Source organism: Homo sapiens, chromosome 10, assembly GCF_000001405.40.
Source record: "Homo sapiens chromosome 10, GRCh38.p14 Primary Assembly".
Lineage (NCBI taxonomy): Eukaryota > Metazoa > Chordata > Mammalia > Primates > Hominidae > Homo > Homo sapiens.
In genome coordinates, this window is record NC_000010.11 from 62,855,814 (window position 1) to 62,878,359 (window position 22,546).

Genomic DNA, 22,546 nt, shown 5'->3' on the forward strand with positions numbered 1-22,546 from the left:
GAAGCTAGGTGCATACTTCTAAGTGTGGAGTGATTTTCAGGCAAAGCTGATTCCTATGATATGCATTGATAATTATAGGGGCTATTTCTGCTCCTGCCAGTAGTTCAGAGATATTCAAAGGGTGCGTAAAATTATTTAAACTATTTTATTTTTGGGTCAAAATGATTGCAAAGCAGAGAAACGGTCGGGAAAAAATAAAACATTTACTGGGGTTTGCAAAAGGAATATTCACATAAATAAAGTGTCAATCCACATGTAGCACTTTGCTTCTTGTGTGGTAGGAAGTGAGAAAATGTCGAAGCCAAATCTGCTATCTTTTTGCGTTTTCAATGTAAGGAAACAGTCATTATCTGTCAGATCTGGATCTTCCATGATTCAATGATGAAATAGCCCATAAAAGGTGCTCAGAAAAGCAGTGGTAATTCCATATAACACCACAGAACACAATCATAACTTCATATCTTTAGACTACATCTCTGAGCAAGGTTCCACGGCATTTGAACTTACATTTTCATCAGCACAAACCACAGGTATAGTGTAAAAAAAAAAAAAACAAAAACAAATTTTAACTCACTCCGAGACCTCAAAAGATTTAACAAGAATTGGATAAAACCTTTGTGTCTCAGCACTATTACAGCTTCAGCTAACCACAAAAATAAAAAAGCTGTTCCTATATTAGTGAGTTATTTTAATGAGATTCCTGGAGATAATGTAAAAGTTCTTGAACTTGATGTCCTGCCAGGGGCAACAAGTGGCTATTTTACTTTCTCTACTCTGAGTGCAGCACCCTGGTTGATAAGATGATCAGCAGGTCAGCTGATAATATTAACTTCAGAGATGGAAAATCCTACCAGTTTAAAGACTTTTTTCAAGAAATTGATGACTAACTTCATCAAAACCTGATAAGAATTGATTCTAACAGTACACTCATATCAATGCTATAAATGAAACATCTGATGATTTTCCAGTTTTTGAGGAAAGTTGTTCCTGTAAAATATTTTTCTCTATATATGGTGTGAATAGGTCACTGCAATAATTTGGTGATTTGGTCAAAGGGCAATGCAAATAGCATTACCTTAAATTCAAGATATCTGAGACTGATGCCTCCTCTTGAAAGAAGACTAAACATGTTTCAAATAGTTTATTATTCTACAAACAGTTAAAACAAATTGATGGCCTCTTATCTAAATGAAGAAAAAGATAAAGATTTTAATTCAAGGCACTGGTTCTTGTTTTAAGCAAACTACTTCCACTATTTTACCTGATGCTCTTTCTAAAAGAAGGGGCAGAACATATCATCACTGAAGACCATGTGCTTTTCTAGCAGTATGCAAAAGTCATAAATAATTCTAAGTTTTCATTTTCATTTCAAACTATGAGAATTGTGAAAGAACATCATTAACAGTGGTTTTCACTCTGGTTTAGATCTATATCTAAACAGATGAGTTATATATAAAATTGTCTAAATCATGAAACTTTGGGAGAATGAAGTGCAAATAAGGCCTATCATTTATACTGGCTTCACTTAGGGAGAAATTATAAATAAAATCATACAGAAAAGCCATTAATTCCTTTCAAAGTTTTGTCCCTTCTTTATCATGCAATGACATTTTTAATAAACACCATGTCCTTAAATTATAGTTTAATGAGAACTTACTAGCCTAATGGGCAAAGAGAAAGGATACAAATGAGAAACAACTGGATATGATGAAAGATTGTTTTCCTCCTGTGTATCTTAGTATTCCAGTCTTATTTTAAAAGTGCAAATTCATCCTCTGCTAGGTACACCATGAAGGAGAGACAAATTTCAGCAAAGAACAATTTTAGAGACTGTGAACCCTCTTCAGGTTCAGTGAGCACTGAAACTGTAGACTCTCTCTTAGTATTCAAATTAAGTACTTAGAGACTTGGTAAGAGATGTTTGAGAAAATTAGGCAAAAATCAACAGTTATTGATGGAAGCTGAGTTCTTCAAAAAAATGCAAGGAAAATAAGTTACTCTCAGCATCATTATTGGATAAATGATTAAACTGAAGAAGTGAATATTGCATTGAAGCATATATATGTCATTTTCCTGACAGACTATGATTCATTGGGAAAAGGTTTTCTGTGGTTTTTTAATACAGTCAAGTTCATTATTAAAATTTTTTAATTAATAGACTTTTTTTAGAACTAGGTTAATAGAAAATTGAACAGATGAAGAGTTCTTATAAACTCTACTTCCTTTTATTGCATCTTATATTAGGGTGGTATATTTGTTAACATTAATGAGCCATTATTAGTGCATTATTACTAACTAAAAATCTATACTTTAGGACTCACTCCTTGTGTTATTAAGTTCCATGTGTTTTATTATAGATATTTTTACCAAATTTTGTATTTCTCTTCATTTTGTTCTTTTACATAAAGAATAATGAGTCATAAACAATGTATAGTGACATATAATGTAATATCTATACTTGGAAGCACTTTTAATATAAATAAATTCTAGGAAATAAAAGCCCTCATTTCCTAATTCAGAATAGGAAGACACTAAAGATACTAGGCATAAGAAAGAACCTGAGTAGTTCTGGGAAAACAGACTCCAGAATGTTAAGGACAGAAATTACTTAGACCTCAGAATCTTGAACACCAAAGCATCAAGCAATGTTAAATCTTAGCAGGGAGGTGCTTGCCTGGCCCTTTAAATGTAGCTGACGTCAGAGGGCCTGGCCACCAGAACCTCTGGCTGCCTGGCCTCTCCTGCCCACAATCCTGGTCCACAGCCCGGACTCTGGAGCCTCTCCCACCCTCCTCCAGGGACCGCCCTCAGCTCAGTCCTGTGCCTCTCTCTGTCTATTGCCTTTATGGTTTATTTTCCAGCCAGATCCCAACCACTTGGCTTTAACCCAGCAGAGATGGAGACGGAAAAGACACATTTCCTTCGTTCAAGGAATTCGCAGTGGACCTAATAGAAGGGGCTGTAAAGTGGTGTCCTATGAGCTGCCTCCAGCCTTCAGGTGTATTCAGTTTTGCAGCAGGATGTTGTCCCATGTGCTATTTTAAATTTGGATTTGGCTACCCACAGTTAAAAATTAGAAAATTTCACACACACACAAATCTTGCTCTCCAGCTTCTCTTGAAAAATCAGAAGCAATCTTGCAGTCATATTGCTAAGAATCAGCTGGAGATGAGTGGCAGCTGCCCTCCTTTTGGGCAGGATATTTGCCCCCTAGTTTGACATAGTCCCCATCTCTCCCTGCTATATTACACTCAGGCCACTTACCGCATTTACATTATTATCTACCTGGCCCTTGTAGACAGTTGATTTTACAATCCTTGGAGTGGCTGGCTGTTTTTGTGTTTCCAGTGGCCAAAGAAACCATAAAAAGCCTAAAATATAAACCTACACCAAGCCCTATTCTTCACCATCCATTGATGGAAGAAATAGATGTTCAAATATGACCACTCATGCTTTTGTGTGCCAAAAGAAACCCCAAAGCCACATGTTGCTACCTTGTAGTACTTCTTATTTAAAATACAAATATAGCACTTCTTATTTAAATATATATATCCTGCTGGTTGAATCAATTGCCCCTTTATGGAAAAGGAGCTCCTGACCACCAAGCCAAATTTATGGTCTGGAAGCATTACTCGGAGGATCTCCCAAACCTGGAGTTGATCAAGATGAACCACCATGCTTGAACTTGGAATACCTTATCACTTTATTTTATTTTATTTTTGAGACGGAGTCTCACTCTGTTGCCCAGGCTGGAGTGCAGTGGCGCAATCTCAGCTCACTGCAAGCTCTGCCTCCTAGGTTTAAGCGATCGTCCTGCCTCAGCCTCCCGAGTAGCTGGGACTACAGGCACCTGCCACCAAGCCCGGATAATTTTTGTATTTTTAGTAGAGACGGGGTTTCACCATATTGGTCAGGCTGCCTTATCACTTTAAGGAATCAATCATTTGTCCCAGAAATTTCACAAGCTCTCAACTCAAGGGCCTTCTTACGAATTCTGGTTTGTACTTTAAGAGGGTTTTCCTCATTGAAAGTTCTTATAAGCTACTTGGATAAGGAGTCATGACATCTCCTTGCCTCTCGGTTTTGCTGAAATACAGCAGAAAGCAGAAAAGTTTCTTCCCTAGACCTGCCCTCCTAACCTCTGCCGCTTTCTCCCATCATCTAGGAAGTACATGCTCCAATGCCCAGCTGGATCCCTGCAGAACTTAGACCTTACCAAAGGTGAAGGGGACCAGCTAGCTAAGGAGGCAGGGAGTACATTAAAAGCACCTAGAGAGAGATCCAGGTGAGCATGCCCAGGAGCAGCCTTCAATGAACACGCCTTTGTTACCTTTGTATTCCCGACGCCCAGAATGGTGCCTAGCATTTTATAGACTTCAGTAAGGATTTGTTGAATGAATGAAAGAATGAATGTATTTCCTATGCACGTCCTTGGCTTCTGTGGTTTTGCTGCTTTGCCTGCCCCAATCTTGGTCTTCCATTTAGGTACCTGGGACTGACTCAAACCTGACCTCCTGACTTTTTGGATCTGATATTTACTCTTTTCTTTACGACAATGGCTCATGAATACCTCTGTTTTCAATTTTTCTTAATGCTCTGTATTTCTTCAGGCAAATGAAAAGAGCCTTGGGAGTCCAAGTCGTTTGGCTCTGGTTCTATTGGTTGGGTGGTCCAAACTTGGGAAATAGGTATGATTTTTGCCATTAAGAATGTTAAAAGTTCTGGAGAGTCTTGCAGTAAAGAAAACTTGTTCAATATTATTTAAATGTAGCATTTCTCAACATTCTTTTGACTAAGGAGGCTCCCTTTTTCCCCACCACACAGTATCTATTGATACCAGGTGAAATTAGGATTCCAGGGAACAAACACACTTTGGGAATTGCTAGAGTAGAGACACTGGGGTCAGTCCCAGAACTAACATACTCTGCTAAAATTCAGTTGCATTAACTTTACTAAAGGGCCAGGACACCTTATCACCAACCAAATGGTATAAAATTGAGAGTAGTTCAAGTCTGAGAGCATTCTCTAAAAGGAAACTACTCATGTCACTCTTTGCCAACTTCCTTTTGTTGGTTCTATTTTATGGGTCTGTCATTTATCAGCAATTAATGAGAACAAGTGGAGTCAAAGCCTCTACCTTCCTTGCAGGGGCATCTAAGTTGGATTGGGGATGGGGGATGGGGGAGCCAGCTGCAGCTTTTTATCTTTTGGTGACAACAAGTAGTTGTATTCCTTCTTGTGCAGTCACCGGGTTCATGAATAGTGCCACAGTCTTTTAAAGCCAGGACTGCTCTTTTGATCTACAAGTTCATATGACTCCACCATGGGCAAGGCCTTCTGTCCCGTTCCACCCCCTCCCCCTTCCTGTGTTTGTCTCTGCCCTTGCAAGCATTTAGGCACTCAGCCAGAACGAGGAAGTGAGTTGCCCAATTCAGAGAAATAAAGGAAAACACCCCCCTCCTCAATTTGATGGTCAATAGCTGTGGGGAGATATAATAAACCTCTTCATTAAACGAATGCAGCTTTTAGATAAGTGAGGAATTATATCTCTAAAGCTATTCTTCAAAACTTGTGACAGTTCCACATGGTCAGGAGGCTGTCATGCTGCCATGGAGATGGAATTTAAGTATAGAATTTAAGGGACTTTAGCCTGCGTGGTTTTCTTCTTCCCAGCCCCACCTTGCAGTTTGGTGTTAAAAAAAAAAAAAAGAAAAAAGAAAAGAAAAAAGAAATGAAGCTGTAAACTAAATGCAACTTCTGATGTAAGAAGTTAAAGAACATGGATACTTTTTTAGAGTAATTTTTATTTTTTTTATTTTAGAATCTATACACGTTGAGTAATACTGATATGAATCAGCTTTGAGGAGGCTGCTAGGAAGACCCAGGCCTCCTGCCAGCCACAATAGCACAGGCGGGGAGGCACCATCACGGTGTCAGCTCTACCAAATGGAACAAGAGCTTTGATGTTTTCTGTCCAGAAACCTTTCTTCCTTCCTGTGCTTGGACATTCACTTGACTCTTTGCAGAGCAAGCCCTACCCAAAAGTAAAGGATGGTCAAATACATCACTTTCCAAATTCCATCCATTAGGGCCACTGTATAGGATTCAGGCACCATCTTCAGAAGATCCTAGATAGGATGTGGTTACCAAGATGGGATGTCCATTTGAACGAAGCCTTGCATTACTTTCCAGGTCTCCTGCTCTACTTTCTCTCCTTCCTTCTGCTCCATCCCTGCTGGCATCTTTGCAACTGTTCAAATGCTCCAGGCATGCACCCCAACTCAGGGTTTTTGCATTTGCTGTTCCCTCCAACTGGAACACTCTTCCCTGGTAAAGACATGGCTCACCCCCTCCTCTTTTTCAAATCTTTCTTCAAATGTCATTTTCTTAGTGAAGCTGTCCTAACCACCCTATTTAAGCAGCTTCCTCACCCAGCAATTCCTAGCCTCTTCCTTGTTTTATTTTACTCCACAACACTTACCACTGTCGAACATATCTTTTGCTTATTTATTTTATTGGTGGTTTGCTTCCACTCCTAGAATGCTGGTCTATGAGGGCAGGGATTCCGTCTGTTTGGTTTGCTGCAAGAATCTCAGCAGTAAAGAGTGCCTAGAACAGGGCCTGGCCTTGGTTGGCATTCAATGACTATTTGTTGAAGAGGAAAGTCATGACCGAACTGCTTAGCTAGCCACCATCTAACAGAGATCAGGGCCCTGGGGCAAGGGCCATAGGACTGGTAAATTCTTGACTGTGGCTTTAATGAATGGCTCCAGGAAAAGAATCTGCAAAATCAGAGGGCCCTGGGCAGGGAGTTGGCAAGCACAGGAGTGAAAGTGGTGCAAGTGCTCATTTCTCAAGTCTTAATAGTGATGCTGAGTGGTGTGTTAAGCACTCTTCCAAGCCTTCCTTCCTAAGGTCTCTGAGTCTCTTATTATAAGAAAATTGCAGCTGTATGAGTCTCTGAAAATAGCAGAGAATGTTAGTCCTGAGACAGACCCCAGAGCCTCCACCCTAGCAGTTCCTAAAATGTGTTTGTTCCCTGACATCCTAATTCCACCTGATGTCAATAGTTGCATCAGCACCCCTATTCCTCCAGGCATAGCCAGGGATGAATGGTTCCATAAAAACAGGTTTCATTTTGCTTAAACCCATGCATACATGAAGGAGACTCCCAAACATTCCCTCAAAACCAGCAACTCAGCCTTGGTTGGTGGCACCTCCCCTCTCTATCACATTAAGGTCATCTTTCAGTTCTCTCTCTGGCCCTCTATATCCAACTAGCTGCCGGGCTATGGCCACTGTATTTCCAAAATACCTCTTTCATCCTTTGCCTCTCTCCCATTCTCATCACCACAGCCCTCATCAGGCCTTCATTAGTCTTTGCCTGGCTATTGCAATAGCTGCCCAACTGGTTTCCTTTCTCTAATTTTTTCCTCCACCAACCCATGCTCTACCACAATAATATTCCCAAAGAACAAATTGGGTGTCACTCTTACTAATCTAACAAAATGCCAATGGCTCCCCATGACCCTTGAGATGGGTCATTTAATCTACCTTCCAGGCTTTCCATCCACTAGCTCCCTAAATGAGCCCTCCGCCATAGTCTTGTCTACGTGTGTGCTCAAGCTCTTCCTCTCTCCAAATAAAACATGTGTTTTCTATTCGTCACATCTTGGGTTTTTCCCTCCCCACCCTATCTTTCTCCCTTCTAACCATATGCCCTAATTTCTCCTCTGTACCTGTTGAAATCTTATCCAGAGATCCCTCAAGGGCCATTTACAGATTGATTCATTCACACAGTGAGTCAAGAGAGACTGGGGGAAGCTCAAACCTCTTTTTCCCACATCTGCCTTGTCAGAAGTGAGCTTTCTTCTATATATCTCCTGTGTATTTATCATATGTTACCTTGGTTAGGGCTACTGCTCTCATATACATCATTATGTCTCCAGCCAGTCTTTTCGTATGGTCCTTGAGGGCAGAGACTTTTGCACCTGTGTTTTATTCCCAGGGCACTTAACATGACAGCTTGTTCATAGCAGGTGCCACACCTATTTGGGGATGATCATAACATCTCGCGCATCCTCTAAGGGTCACTTTAATCCTCTCAAGGTTGCTTTGCCAATTGTAACTGGTGCGCCATCACCAGAAATATTTCCCTTTCCCACTTCCCACGGTCAGCAGGGCTCACAGTCCTCAAGGTAGCCAGTTGTTATTCAAAGCTGAGTGAGCTAGGAGCCCAGGGTGGAAAATAAATGTCACACAACTTCCTCCAAGATGAATTTTAAAAAGGAAATCATCAGGGTAAAAAGAACAGACTTGATTTACCAGTTGAGGCTGTTGTCCCAGGCACATAAGCATAATTTATCTCCCTGATGCCCTGCGGCACACACCTGGATGTCCTGAGTGCCACATGTTGTGGGCAGGCAGTTTGGTGGCAAATAAAACAAACCTGGAATTAGAGGGGTAGAGTGAGAGAATAAGGAGAAGGAGGAAAAATGGAAGGAGAGGAAGAAGGAAGAAAGGAAGTAAGGGAGGGAGGAAGGGAGGTAAGAAGGGAAAGGAAAGAAGAAAAGGGAAGAAAAGATAGGGAAAGGAAGGAAGGAAGGGAGGGAGGGAGGGAGGAAGGAAGGGAGGGAGGGAAGGAATTTAGTTTCATCCTGTTAGGTATGAACATTGTGAAAGGAAATAAGCAGAAAGATATCTGTAATATGCCATTGTGTGGCCTGTGCTGTTAGGTTTCATCCTGTCTCATTGTTATTGTCTGTGATTTTTTGGCTGTTCAGTGCACACCCCTCGTCCCCATCAGTACAGGCTTCCACCATTTACCAGTTTACATGTCCTTCTTCCTGGCTTTGACTGTGAACTCTTAGAGGGAGAAGCTTGTCCCTTTAACTCTGCATCCTTAGTACCGAGCATGGCATCCGGCATGCAGTGTGTTGATGGTGGAAAGTTGTGCTCCCCAAAATTCAGTGACTGGTTTGCCAACTTTGTGCTTTTTGTTCTAATCAAGTTCTACCACTTGCATGGTTATTGGCCTCTTTCAACTGATTCATGCTCTTTTCTTTTAACTTTGGGCCATTCTTTGCAGTCATATCTGTGAAGTCACACAGACTGAGGCAGGATATGTATTTCCTAATCTATATTAAAATAAATAGATAACCACTAAAATAAACAGTATTCATCCAGGTACCACCTACATCAACACCACTGTGGTAGGCAAATCACTTTGGGGAAACACTAATTATGCTTTGTTCCGAAAATTGAAACATAATCAAGTGCATCAATTCTGTAATTTAAGTCTTTTAGTAGGATTTCTGCAAACACAGTCAGCAATACTGTCTTTTCCCAGAAGAAAGTGGGCACTGTGGGTATAAATTTTTCTGTGTACCGGCCAGGCAAGGTGGCTCACGCTGGTAACCCCAGCACTTTGGGAGGCCGAGGTGGGTGGATCACGAGGTCAGGAGTTCAAGACCAGCCTGGCCAAGATGGTGAAACCCCGTCTCTACTAAAAATACAAAAAAATTAGCCAGGCGTGGTGGTGGGTGCCTGTAATCCCAGCCACTCGGGAGGCTGAGGTAAAGAATTGCTTGAACCTGGGAGGCGGAGGTTGCAGTGAGCCGAGATTGCGCCACTGCACTCCAGCCTGGGCGAAAGAGTGAGACTCATCTCAAAAATAAAGAAAGAAATTTTTCTGTGTACCAATTGTTTAATTGGTGAAGCACAATGTGAGCTGAGAGAAGGAAGGATGTTTTGTCATCTCCTCAGATATTTTAATTAAGTAGATTCTGAACTTGAGAAAGCATTTGGCCATTTTAGCAGTCAGTGGTAAAGATTTCCTCAAATCTTGACTGTCCCATCTTCCTCATCCCCTCACCCCTAATGTGTTCCCCAAGTCTGCATAGTCTACCTGGAAAAGGACTCTTAAAAATCCTCCAGAAGACAAATAGACAAACTGCACAAGCAGATGAATTCACAAAGAGGAAATGTAATTAGTCAGAAAAATATGGGAAAATATACAATCAAATGAATGCAGATTACAATTAGATATAATTTATCACTTTAAACCTTCTAAATAAGGGTAATATTTACTAATAAATAATGTGTAATGCAAGTCAAGGCAGGCTGAATTGATACTCTCAAACTTTGCATGTGGCTACCTGATGCATAGTGATTGTGAATTGTAAAAACATTTACAAAGTGTAATTTGGTAACATGAATCAAGGGTTCAAAAATTCCATGAGGCCTTACATCCAGTGGCAATTCTGTTTCTAGGAATCTAGTCTATGGAAATAATTAGATGTAGAAAGTATTATCAGCATGAAAATGTTTGTTACTGTATTACTTATGCTAGTGAAACCTAGGAACAACCAAATACCAACAATGAAGATACTAAGTGAGTAAATTTGCAATCTATATCCATTCAGTAGATAGGCATGCATATATTTAAAATTAGGCTTATGAAAACATTTTATGATGTGGCAAAATGCTTTGGGTATAAGATTTGAAACATTATGGATAATGATGATAAATATGTAAAAATATTTGCATGTAAGAAGAGTCTCAAGGAAATGGCCTTGTTCCCTGGCAAGGCCGTGTGGCATTATGGCTAAGTGCATGAACTCTGGCCTCAGATTTTCTGCTTTTGCAACTCATCTCTGCCACTTATTAGCTTTGTGACCTTGGGTGAGTTGCTTAATTTCTCCAAGACTTCATTTTTCTCATCTGTAAAGTGTAATAGCTCTCTGGCCATGTTGTGAGGATTAAGTAAGGTAGTTTATGCAAAATATTCAGCACACGGTTGGCACATAGTGACACTAAGTAGCTACTCATCAAGCAAATATTTATTAATCATAGACTATGTGCAAGTCACCTAATATGCTGGTAAACCATGGGAAAATTTCGTGTCTTCTGTTTTCTGCAATATGCTTATAACTATCTTTGTAAGGAAAGGAACTCCACTGTGCCTGCCTTGGTCAGCCACTCTGTCATCTCTCCCTTGGGCTACCCCAAGAGCCTGTTAATGGCTGTGACTGGCTTATCCCCTCTCACCCACTCCAAAATGAGGATTTGATCATGTCACAACCTTGCTTCTATAACTTCCCTGGTTCCCTGTGGCTTCCAAGGTAAAGCCCAATGTCTTTATCTGGAAATTTTCAAAATCTGGCCTCAACCTACTCTTAATTTCTTGCCATTTTCTATCTCTGCACTCTCTATTCTAAGCATTCTATCTCCCTATCCCAAACCTGGGCAGGAGAATCATTGTCAAAACCCTGGCTTTCATACAGCACAACACTGCTCTACTGAAATTTTAGCCTCATTTAAAATGATGATTCTTGGACCACACCCCCAAGGATGCATATTTAAAAGTCTGAAATGGAGGCTAGGAATCTGCTTCTTTAATAAGCATCCCGTGTGATTCTGAGATGAGGTTCAAGGATCCTCTGAGAAATAAGCCATTCTCTTCTCTGCCTAGTAGGTCTGTCCTCCTGCCTGATGGATACTTGTGCATTCTGCTAGGCAGCTGAAAGGTTGGCTATATTTTCCTGACTTCCTCAGGAAATGATGATCTCCCCTCTCTGTACTTCTGTGATATTCTCTCCAAACCTCTATGGAGGCGTTATTTCCTTGTGCTTTCTTTACTTACTTCTGCAGCTGTCTGAACTGCCCTGGGAGCTCCTAGACTTCAATAACTGGCACATAGTAGGCCCTTATAGATGTCTGGGGGGTGTATTCATGCATTCACTCATTGACATTAATCCTAGATGATTCCATCTGCCACGCTGAGCTCTAGTTCATCTGTAATTAGTGAGGCTGACCTTACTGACACTCATTATTGGCTCTGCTCATTTACCTCCTAGGCCATGCAAAGCCAGCTTACTTTCTCACAGGGACAATTTAGCAAGTAATCGGAACCCACATAGCTGGGATCTTCTGGCAGAGAGAAGAAATCCAAGCAAGACATCACCAGGTTGAACATGGATGGCATGCAGACTGCAGTGTGGAGGAGGTCAGCTCACCTTGGGGAGTCATGCTGTAGACAGGTCAACAGGGCACAGACCCAGGTGGGTGGTTGTCCTGTGACCAGATCCCAACAGACTCACCATCAGCTTGCCAGTTTAAATGCTAGGATAACAGAATAGTTACTCAAATGGGCCCTGAAAGTCAGAGTGCCTTGGTTGGAATTATAACTCTGCCAGGCATGTGGTGCTGGACATGTTTCATAACCTCTCTGTGCCTTGGTTTTCTCATCTGTGTGATGGGGACAATAAGCAACCTAACTCTTAGAGTTGTTGTGAAAAGCAAATAAACTAAAATATGTACAATATTTGGAATAACATTTGGTGCATATTAACTGCTCAATAAGTAGTGGTTATCATAATTAGATTCCCCAAGCTATACTATGCAGTCAATGCACATATTAGTTTAGAGTTTTTCCTCTGGCCTTTGCTTCAAACACATGCTGAAATTTTCTGTACTAATCTTTGTCCCTGCTTAACTCCAACCTTGGAGATTTGATTTTTATTGGGACAGCTTCAACTCCATAAAACTTGCAAAACCAAGGTAATATTAAGCTAAAAAGAGTCCCTAATTCATTTGTTGGATATAAGTTTGAAGTCAGAAAAATATGGCCAAAGAAAATATAAGAACTCTACATTTGTATAGAGGGGAAAATTAAGCATCCCAAAAATGACAGGATGAAAGAAGACTGAAAAAAATCTGATGAGAAACAAAACTCCATCTAGTCAAGATTGCAAGCAATATCTTGCATGAAAAGATACCTCCTGAATTTTATGCCTTTGAGAAAACTGAGGCATAAGGATGCGCTCAGTGTTGAGAGCCTATTATGGGCCAAGGGCAGAGGTCAGCATAAATTGCCTTTTTAATACTTATTCCCAATCCCTATGATTCTGATCTCACAGAGGGGAAACTACAGTGTTACATAACTAGTAACGTCAAAACTGGATTCCCACCCAGCTCTGAGATGGCTCCCAACCAACAGAGCTTTACATTTTAACCACACTGCTTTCTTGCTGCTCCTAATTATGCCTCTTATAAACTTTATTTATTTATTTATTTATTTATTTATTTATTTATTTATTTATTTATTTTTAGATGGAGTCTCGCTTGTCGCCCAGGCCGGAGTGCAATGGTGCAACCTTGGCTCACTGCAACCTCCGCCTTCCAGGTTCAAGTGATTCTCCTGCCTCAGCCTCCCAAGTAGCTGGGATTACAGCCACCATGCCCAGCTAATTTTCATATTTTTAGTGGAGACAGGGTTTCACCATGTTGTCCAGGCTGGTGTCGAACTGCTGACCTCAGGTGATCCACCTGCCTTGGCCTCCTGAAGTACTGGGATTACAGGCGTGAGCCACCATGCCCAGCTACCTCTTATAAACTTTTGAGTGAAATTTCATAGCCTGGAGCTTCAAAACAAGTATTTATTCAAGGCCAGTTTCCAGTCTTAGCTCTGTAGCCCCCAAAGCTGGGATGGAGGAAAAGCCTCCCATGATCCCCTGGTTGGAGTCTTAACTTCCAGCTCCTCAGAATGTGACCTTATTAGAAGATAGGTCGTTGTGAATGTAAGTAGTACAGTTAAGATGAGATGAGTTTCTACTGGACTAAGGGGTCCCTTAATGCAATATGATTGGTGTCCTTATAAGAAGAGGAGAAGGGATACCGAGCAGACACATGAGGAAAGGTGTCATGCGAGGCATTGAGATGCTGCAGCTGCAAGCCAAAAAAGGCTAGAAAGGGGCAAGGAAGGTGTCTCCCCTACAAGGAAGGTGTCTTCTCTACAAGGAAGGCCCTGATGACACCTTGACTTTGGACTTCTAGCCTCCCAATATGTGATACTTTGTCACAGCAGCTTTAAGAAACTAATGCACACCTACCCCACCCTGGAGTTGGGGGAAAACTGAAATAAACAGAGGATGTTCTTTTGTGGGCTCTCTGTTGTCACTGTGCTCATGTGATGATAGTCATGACAATGATACTATGGCAGACACTGTTGGTTCTTCCCCAGTTGCCATCCTTCCCCACTTTTGCTAACAGATCCCCTATTTGCTCAGATATTAACCTCTGCCTCCTTCATGGGTCCCTCTAGTTCTGTAAACACGTGGACTTTATGCATGTGGAAGGATGCTCTGATTGGACCCATCAAACTGAATTAGCTCCTTACAGCCTATCTTGTTGGCAGTATTTCAAAGCTCAAGAATCTGCTAGGTTTTGGCGTCCACATGCTAAGCCCGAAGGGGACTTCAGCATTCTGCTTTGTCAGCCTGAAAGGAAGGAGTAAGTGATTCATCCACCAACTCAAAAAAATTAATAGATTTGGTGGCTTATGCTGGTGTAATTACTAACACTTACTAACATCCCAACAATAGCATCACTGGTGAGTCTGTAGAGATGTGGTAGTCATCTCTCTGCTTCTCCTCTCCTTCTCCTCCCTCAAAACGACTAGTGGATGGGCACATGTGAAAATGTTCTTATTATTCAAATTGAACTTAATAATTTAATTTTTAATATTTTTACATACTTTATTTATATAAAGTTCAAAAACAGACAAACCAATATATGCTGTCAGAAGTGAGGAGAGAGGTTAGCTTTGGTGAGGAGGGAGGAGGCATGAGAGGGCTGCAGGGTGTTGGTAACACTGTCTTCTTGAGCTGGGTGCTGGTCACACAGGTGTGTTTATTTTATAATGTGTGTGTTTTGTGCACTTTTCTGTACCTATGTTGCATTTCAGTCATGTTTTAAAAATATATTTTGGTTTGCACTAATTCTAATGTCCTTTCTTCCAGTGCACTGTTTCCACATGAGTTCATCCTAAAACAATACTTCTTGGAAGGCTGGACTTGATAGAGAATTCAGTTAAGTAGTATTCGGTGGTTACCTAGGCTCCAACTATTAACTATTCCCCAGGATCAGGTTGGCCTCCCTGCCGCTCCAAGTCACTGCTTTCTAGGAGTTAACAGCTGCTTCCTAATTCACTTTTTTAAAAGTACTTTTTCCTAATTTTGTTTCTGGAAAGTGTTCTTACAAAAGAGGTCTATTTCGCATGAGAAGACCTGAGGCCTGCTTCCCCATGAGCTGAGCTCTGAATATGCAGCTTCTATCTTACATAACGCCCCCCACCCCATCACACCTGACTGCCTGGAGTTGAATTTATTAAACTGATCCTTTGCGTGAGCAGAGGCATCGCTTTCAAAACCGAGCAGTAAGCAAATGACTAACTGCTTTCCCATCTGCACACATTCTGCATCGGCTTTCAGGGGGGTTTACCTACTACGTCTAAAGTAGTTATGAATAATCAAAATATAGTTTTCAGAAGAACTGCTCATTACACATTACATCACATGACACTTCCATCTCAGTTCAAGAAAAAAAACAAAAACCAAAAAAACAAAACCTTAAGAAATGCATCTGCAGACAAATTTTCCTGATTGAGTGTCATTTTGTTCACCCTTGGCAGCCAGGACAGATAAAATGTTGGCATAATAAATTGCAATTTTTATCTAAAGTTTTCGATTCTCTTTGAAATTCTTGGTTGAAGATCAAAATGGACCAAAGTTTTCTCAGTTTTCCCACTGGGAACTGCTTTTGTGAAGAAAGCTTAATTGATTTGATAAACATTTTTTTCATTACTACAAGCTAAATTCTGTGGCTGGTTTAAATACATATATATAATTCAGAATGCTTCCAATTTATTAAGGGAGACAAAAATGTGAAAGTATCACTCTAAGACAAAGCCCATAGTGAAAAGTATTGAAACAGAGGTACCGAGGTCAGGACTGGATTCCTGAAGGAAGTAACATTTATTCTTGAAGAATGGGTGGCATTTTAAAGGTGGAGATGGAGAAGAGGAAAGGTCATTCCAGGTAACAGGAACAATTTTAGGAAATGTAGAAGAGCAAAGGAGGACAGATGAGAGAAATATGAGAATGTATTAAACAATGTAGCCAGAAGTTTGGGTGGGAGATGATATTAGAAGTTAACACAGTGCTGGGAAGGAGACCAGAAGCCAGATGTTACAGAGTTTGGGTTGAAGGTTTAAAAAGATTCCTGGGCCGGGTGTGGTGGCTGACACCTGTAATCCCAGCACTTTGGGAGGCTGAGGTGGGCAGATCACCTGAGGTCAGGAGTTTTAGATCAGCCTGGCCAACATGGCGAAACCCCGTCTCTACTAAAAGTACAAAAAATAGCCAGGTGTGGTGGTGGGCGCCTGTAATCCCAGCTACTCGAAGCTTCAACCTGGGCATTGGAGGTTGTAGTGAGTCCAGATCTCACCACTGCACTTCAGCTGGGCGACAGGAATGAGACTCCAGGAGCGATGGCTCACGCCTGTAATCCCAGCACTTTGGGAGGCCGAGGCGGGTGGATCACGAGGTCAGGAGATCGAGACCACGGTGAAACCCCGTCTCTACTAAAAATACAAAAAAAAAAAAAAATTAGCTGGGCGCGGTGGCGGGCACCTGTAGTCCCAGCTACTCGGGAGGCTGAGGCAGGAGAATGGCGTGAACCTGGGAGGCGGAGCTTGCAGTGAGCCGAGATCGCACCACTGCACTCCAGCGTGGGTGACAGAGCAAGACTCCATCTCAAAAAAAAAAAAAATCAAGAGTGAAGTAATATTGTTTTCAGGCGTGTGTGTTTGTGTGTGTGTGTGTGTGTGTGTGTGTGTTAAAACATACATAACATAAAGTTTACCATATTAATCATTTTTTTTCCTTTTTGTTGAGACGGAGTTTCCCTCTGTCGCCCAGGCTGGAGTGCAAGGGCAAGATCTTGGCTCACTGCAACCTCTTCCCCCCAGTTCACAAGATTCTTCTGCCTCAGCCTCCTGAGTAGCTGGGATTAGGGTGTGTGCCACCACACCTAGCTAATTTTTGTATTTTTAGTAGAGACAGGGTTTCACAAGTTGGCCAGGCTGGTCTCGAACTCCTGACCTCGTAATTCACCTGCCTTGGCCTCCCAAAGTGCTGGGATTACAGGCGTGAGCCACCGTGCCTGGCCATCAACCATTTTTAAGTGTACAATTCACTGGCATTAAGTACATTCACATGGTTGTGTCACCATCACTACCATCCACCTCCAGAACTTTGTCATCTTTCTCAACTGAAACTCCCCATTCTCTGCTTCCCAAGCCCCTGGCAACTACCTTTCCACTTTTTGTGACTGAATTTGACTACTCTAGATACTTCATATAGGTGTATATAAAATACAAACTTTGTCCCTTTATGGTTTATTTCACTCAACATAATGTCTTCAAAATTTATTCATGTTGTAGCATGCATCAGAATTGTTTCCTTTGTAAGACCTAATAATATCCAATTGTACGTATATGCCACAATTTGTTTACCCGTTTATAACACTTGGGGTGTTTCTACTGCTTGGTGAATAATGCTGCCATAAGCATTGGTGTACAAATATCTGCTTGAGTCCCTGCTTTTACTTATTTTGGGTCTATACCCAAAAGTGGAATTGCTGAATCGTATGGTAATTTTATGTTTAATCTTTTGAGGACTCATCAAATCATTTTCCACAGTGGCTGCACCATTTTACCTTCCCACCAGCAATGTACAAGGGTTCCAGTTTCTCTGCATCTTCACTAACACTTGTTATTTTCTGGGTTTGTGTTTTTGTTTTGTTTTGTTTTGTTTTGTTTGGTATTGTCATCCTAATGGGAGTGAAGTAGTGTCTTATTATGGTTTTGATTTGTATTTCCCTAATGAGTGATATTAAGCATCTTTTCATGTGCTTAGTAGCTATGTGTATTTCTTTGGAGAAATGTTTATTCAAGCCCTTTGCCCAATTTTAATTAGGTTGTTTTATTGTTACTGAGTTGTAAGAGTTCTTTGCACGTTATGGATATCAATCCCTATTAGGTATTGATTTGTAAATATTTCCTCCCATTCTATGGATTATCTTTTCACTCTGTTGATAGTGTCCTTTGATGCACAAACGTTTTTGTTTGGTTGGGGATTTTTTGCTTAGATTTGCCTTTTATGTATTTTTATTGACACATAGTATTTATATATATATTTTGAGGTACCTGTGATATTTTGTTACATGTATAGAGTGTGTAATGATGAAGTGAACATTTCAAGTCCTCTCTTCTAGCTATTTTGAAATACGCAATACATTATTGTTAACTATAGTCACCCTGTTCTACTATCAAACATTAGAACTTATTCCTTCTAACTGTATGTTAAGTAATCTCTCTTCATCTCTTCCCCCACCCACACACCCCTCACAGCCTCTGGTATCTATTATTCTACTGTCTATCTCCATGAGATCAACTTTTTTAGCACCCACACATGAGTGAGAACATGCGATATTTGTCTTTCTGTTCCTGGCTTATTTTACTTAACATAATGGCCTCTATTTCCATCCATGTTGCTGCAAATGACTTGATTTCATTCATTTTTATGGCTGAATAGTATTTCATTATGTATATAGACCACATTTTCTTTATTCATTCATTCGTTGATGGACAGCTGGGTTAACTGATGCACAAGTGTTTTATTTTGATGAAATCTAACTTATCTATTTTTTCTTTTTTACCTATGCCTTTGGTGTCATATCTAAGAAGTCATTGCCAAATCCAGTGTCATGAAACTTTATGTTTCTTCTGAGAGCTATAGTTTTAGCTCTTACATTTAGGTCTTTGATCCACTTTGAGTTAATTCTTGTACACAGTGTAAGGCAAAGATCCAACTTTATTCTTTTGCATGTGGGCTATCCAGTTTTCCCAACATCATTTGTTGAAAATACTATCCTCTCCCTATTGGATGGCTTTGGCATCCTTGTTGAAAATAATTTCTCCGTATATGCAAGGGTTTATTTATGGACTCTGTATCCTATTCTATTGGTCTATATGTCTGACTTTATGACAGTTCCACAGTTTTGATTACAGTAGCTTTGTAGTAAGTTTTGATTACTGTAGCTTTGGTCTACAAAGTTTTGTTTGTCTGTTTCTTTGTTTCTTTGTTTGTTTTTGAGACAGAGTCTCACTCTGTCACCCAGGCTGGAGTGCAGTGGCATGATCTTGGCTCACCGCAGTCTCCACCTCCCAGGCTCAAGTGATTCTCCCACTTCAGCCTCCCGAATAGCTGAGACTACACCACTATGCCCAGCTAATTTTGTATTTTTAGTAGAGATGGGGTTTCACCATGTTGTCCAGGCTGGTCTTGAACTCCTGACCTCAGGCAATCCACCCGCATTGGCCTCCCAAAGTGCTGGGATTACAGGCATGAGCCACCATGCCTGGCCCATGTTCTACTATAGTTCTGAATTCAAAAAATGTAAGACCTCCAATTTTATTCTTCATCTTCAAAATTGTTTTGGCTATTTGAGGTCCTTGAGATTCCATATGAATTTAAGGAGGAATTTTTCTGTTTCTGCAAAAAAAATCCTTGGGATTTTGACAGAGATTGCATTGAATCTGCAGATTGCTTTGGGTAGTACTGACATCTTAACAATATTAACTCTTCCTAATTCATGAACATGGACTGTCTTTCCATTTACTTGTATATTTTAAAGTGACATCTTATTTTTTTATTAACATTTTCATTCTATGTGTGTAACCTGTGACAAAGAGGGCTGTTAAATGCCACACAGAAGGCACATGATAAATGCATGTCGCTGAATCAAAAACAAACAAAAAGCAGAATGACAATTGCAATTGCACAAACTATGCTCACCAGAGCTAACAATTATAATATGCAGCTAGGCTTATCTAAGCAAGATTGTGAGATTGGTCATTCATTTCTTCTCCCCCTCCCTTCAGAAACTCTCACGCTTTTCACAATTCCCCCTTTGCTGTATCCATCTCAAGCCTCTCCTTAGGAATCCTTCCTCCTAGAAAAGAAAACTATGTTTTAAAACTCTAGTTCATGGAGTTGTAATAGAGTGAAATTCACAATTTTAAAATGCATGGTGCAGTAAGTTTTCACAACTGTTTACAGTCATCTAATCTCAGAGCCAGGCTTTGGAAGTAGACTCAAGGGCAGCTTCGTCCATCACACATGAAAAAAGTTGGTTTGCCGTTTGATGGTTCCTCAAAAAATTGAACAAAATTACCTTATCACTCAGCAATTCCACTTCTAGGTATGGACCCAAAAGAATTAAAAGCAGCAGCTCAGATATTTGTACACCAACGTTCATACCGGCATGACTCACAATAACAAAATGGGGGAAACAGCCCAAGTGTCTGTAGATTGATGAATGGATACATGTTATATACATATGATGGAGTATCATTCAGGCACAAAAGAAATGAAGTCCTGGCACACACAACAACATGGATGAACCTCAAAGACATTATGTGAAGTTAAATAAGCCAGTCACAAAAGGACCAGTACTGTATGAGTCCACTTACATGAGGCACCTAGAATAGGCAAGTTCTAGAGACAGAAAGTAGAATGGAAGTCATCAGGGGCTGGGGAAGGGGACAATGCGGAGTTATTATTTAATGGCCACAGAGTTTCAGTTTCCAGTGATGAAAAATTTTGAAAACAGATAGTGGTGATGGTTATACAACATTAGAAATGTACTTAATACCATTTAACCATTCAGCATGGTTACAATGATAAATTTCATGTTATGTATATCGTATCGATTTTCATATTTTTTTTCAAAAGTGGGTGGTCTTTACCATGAAGGAACACAGACAACTTCAAATCCTCTGACTTAACATGGGACACACACACAATCATGAGAATAAATATAATATTGTAAAAATATAGAATAAGAACAGATCAAAGAACACTGCAAGCTGGGAGAAGGCTGGAAAAAGAGAAAGAATCTGAAGGCAGGGCCACCAGATAAGAGGTACTGCAATGGTCTCAGAATGGCCTGAGCTGAGTATCACAGAGGGAAAGGGAAGATGGTTCATGTACAGGAGGAAGAGTGAACTCATGGTATCAATTAATGTGGCACAAGGCAGAAGGAAGAGGGGAAAACGCAGGCCAGGACCACATCATGACTGTCGTGGGCCCTGGGCACTTTTCTTAGAGAATGTTTCCTCCCTAAAGTATATATATATATGTTTGTATTCTAGAGGAACAACGTTTTTTTGTCCTGAAGGTACATTTTTTTCTTTTAATTTAAAAAGGAATCAAAACATTTCATGGGCCCCTAAATGGCACTGCCCCTCCTGAGACTGCACTGGGCCAGTCCTGTGTGAGGAATAGATGGTCTCCTGCCAAGAATATTCATCCTCCTTCCCCTTCCCCTGCAGCCTCCCTGTCTCATTTATTGCTTGAGGTATTGAGGACTTTGTTACTGCAGATATGTGATTGGGTGGCACAATGCTGTTGGGGACAGTAACTCAGTGTGGGGGTTAGGATCCAGGACTCCAGAATCAGAACAATTTGGGCCTGAATCACAGCTCCCACTGCCTGGCTGTGTACATTGAGCATGTTACTTAACATTTCTGAGCCACAGTGTCTGTCAAATGAGTATGAGTTCCCAACATCCTAGAGGTTTTGTAAGAATTAAAAGTCGTAAGAGAACAACCAGCTCAGCATGGCGCCTGGTACATGGCTGGCAAGTGCAGGCAACTCCATCACCTCTCCTGGCTTGGCACAAACAGACACAGTTGTTTGGAGTTTGTAGTGAGTGGGAGGAGGAAAGGCATGAAGATACCTGGAGAGGGGAAACAGAAGGGGCAGGAAGTCCAGAGAGTAATGGAAGGGACACGAACCGTTTGCAATTTTGCCAGGAGCAGGCCCAATTAGCCTACGATCTCCCACCACACTGCCTGGAGTGTTGCCTCTTCTAAGCACACAGAGGCTCCTGTCACCAGCTACAAATACCCTTGATATGCTCCCCTCTCCCAGAGCTGGGAAACAAACCAAAGGCATTCAAGGTTTCCAATTCGCTTTAGTTCTCGTTTCCCTGTGGCCTCCTTTTCTCCTTTCTCGCATCCATCCCCACTCCAGATTTGCCATTCCTCACACTCTCCTGCCTTTTGCCTCACGTGGTTTCTTTTGCCTGCAATGCCCTTTGGGAGAACTTCTGCTCATTCTAGAAGACCCAGCTCCAGTGTCTCCTCTGCAACTGCCTCTGCAAAATCAATCCCTCCCTCTCCTGGGTTTCCACTGCACCTGCGTTACTCTATTTATTACTCTTCCAGATAATCATTTGTTTACATCTCTCCCCAGCTGGAAGGTGAGCTCCAGAAGGGGAGGGGCTGCTGGACTCTCCCTCCTGGGCCACCCCCACCCCCACCTCACCCTGCCCCCACCCCAACCATTGCCCCACCTCCTGCACATGCTGGCAGCCCATGAATGAGGAAAGGGAGGTGTCTTCATTGTTTACTTGATTTTGGAATCGCTCTTCTCACACCTGTTCCAACAAAGGACTCTGATTTATGTGGCGAATTAAAGATTCAACACTTAACAAAGTTGCAGTGCGACATGAAGGGGCAAGAAACTAGAATTGCTTCCAAGACAGGAAAATAACAGGGGGATTAACTTGGTGATTACACCTGGGTCCCCAGGCAGCTATTTCTAAGGGAATGGGGTGGAGGGAGTCAGTGGTACCC

At 41.2% G+C, this 22,546-nt stretch overlaps 1 annotated feature.

The window, feature by feature from the left end:
• Positions 15,048-15,107: an enhancer, noted in NCBI's record as "active region_3433". NCBI's record gives its function as "activates an Ori minimal core promoter by ATAC-STARR-seq in GM12878 lymphoblastoid cells {active_cell/tissue: GM12878}" and the evidence as "EXISTENCE:reporter gene assay evidence [ECO:0000049][PMID:35858748]".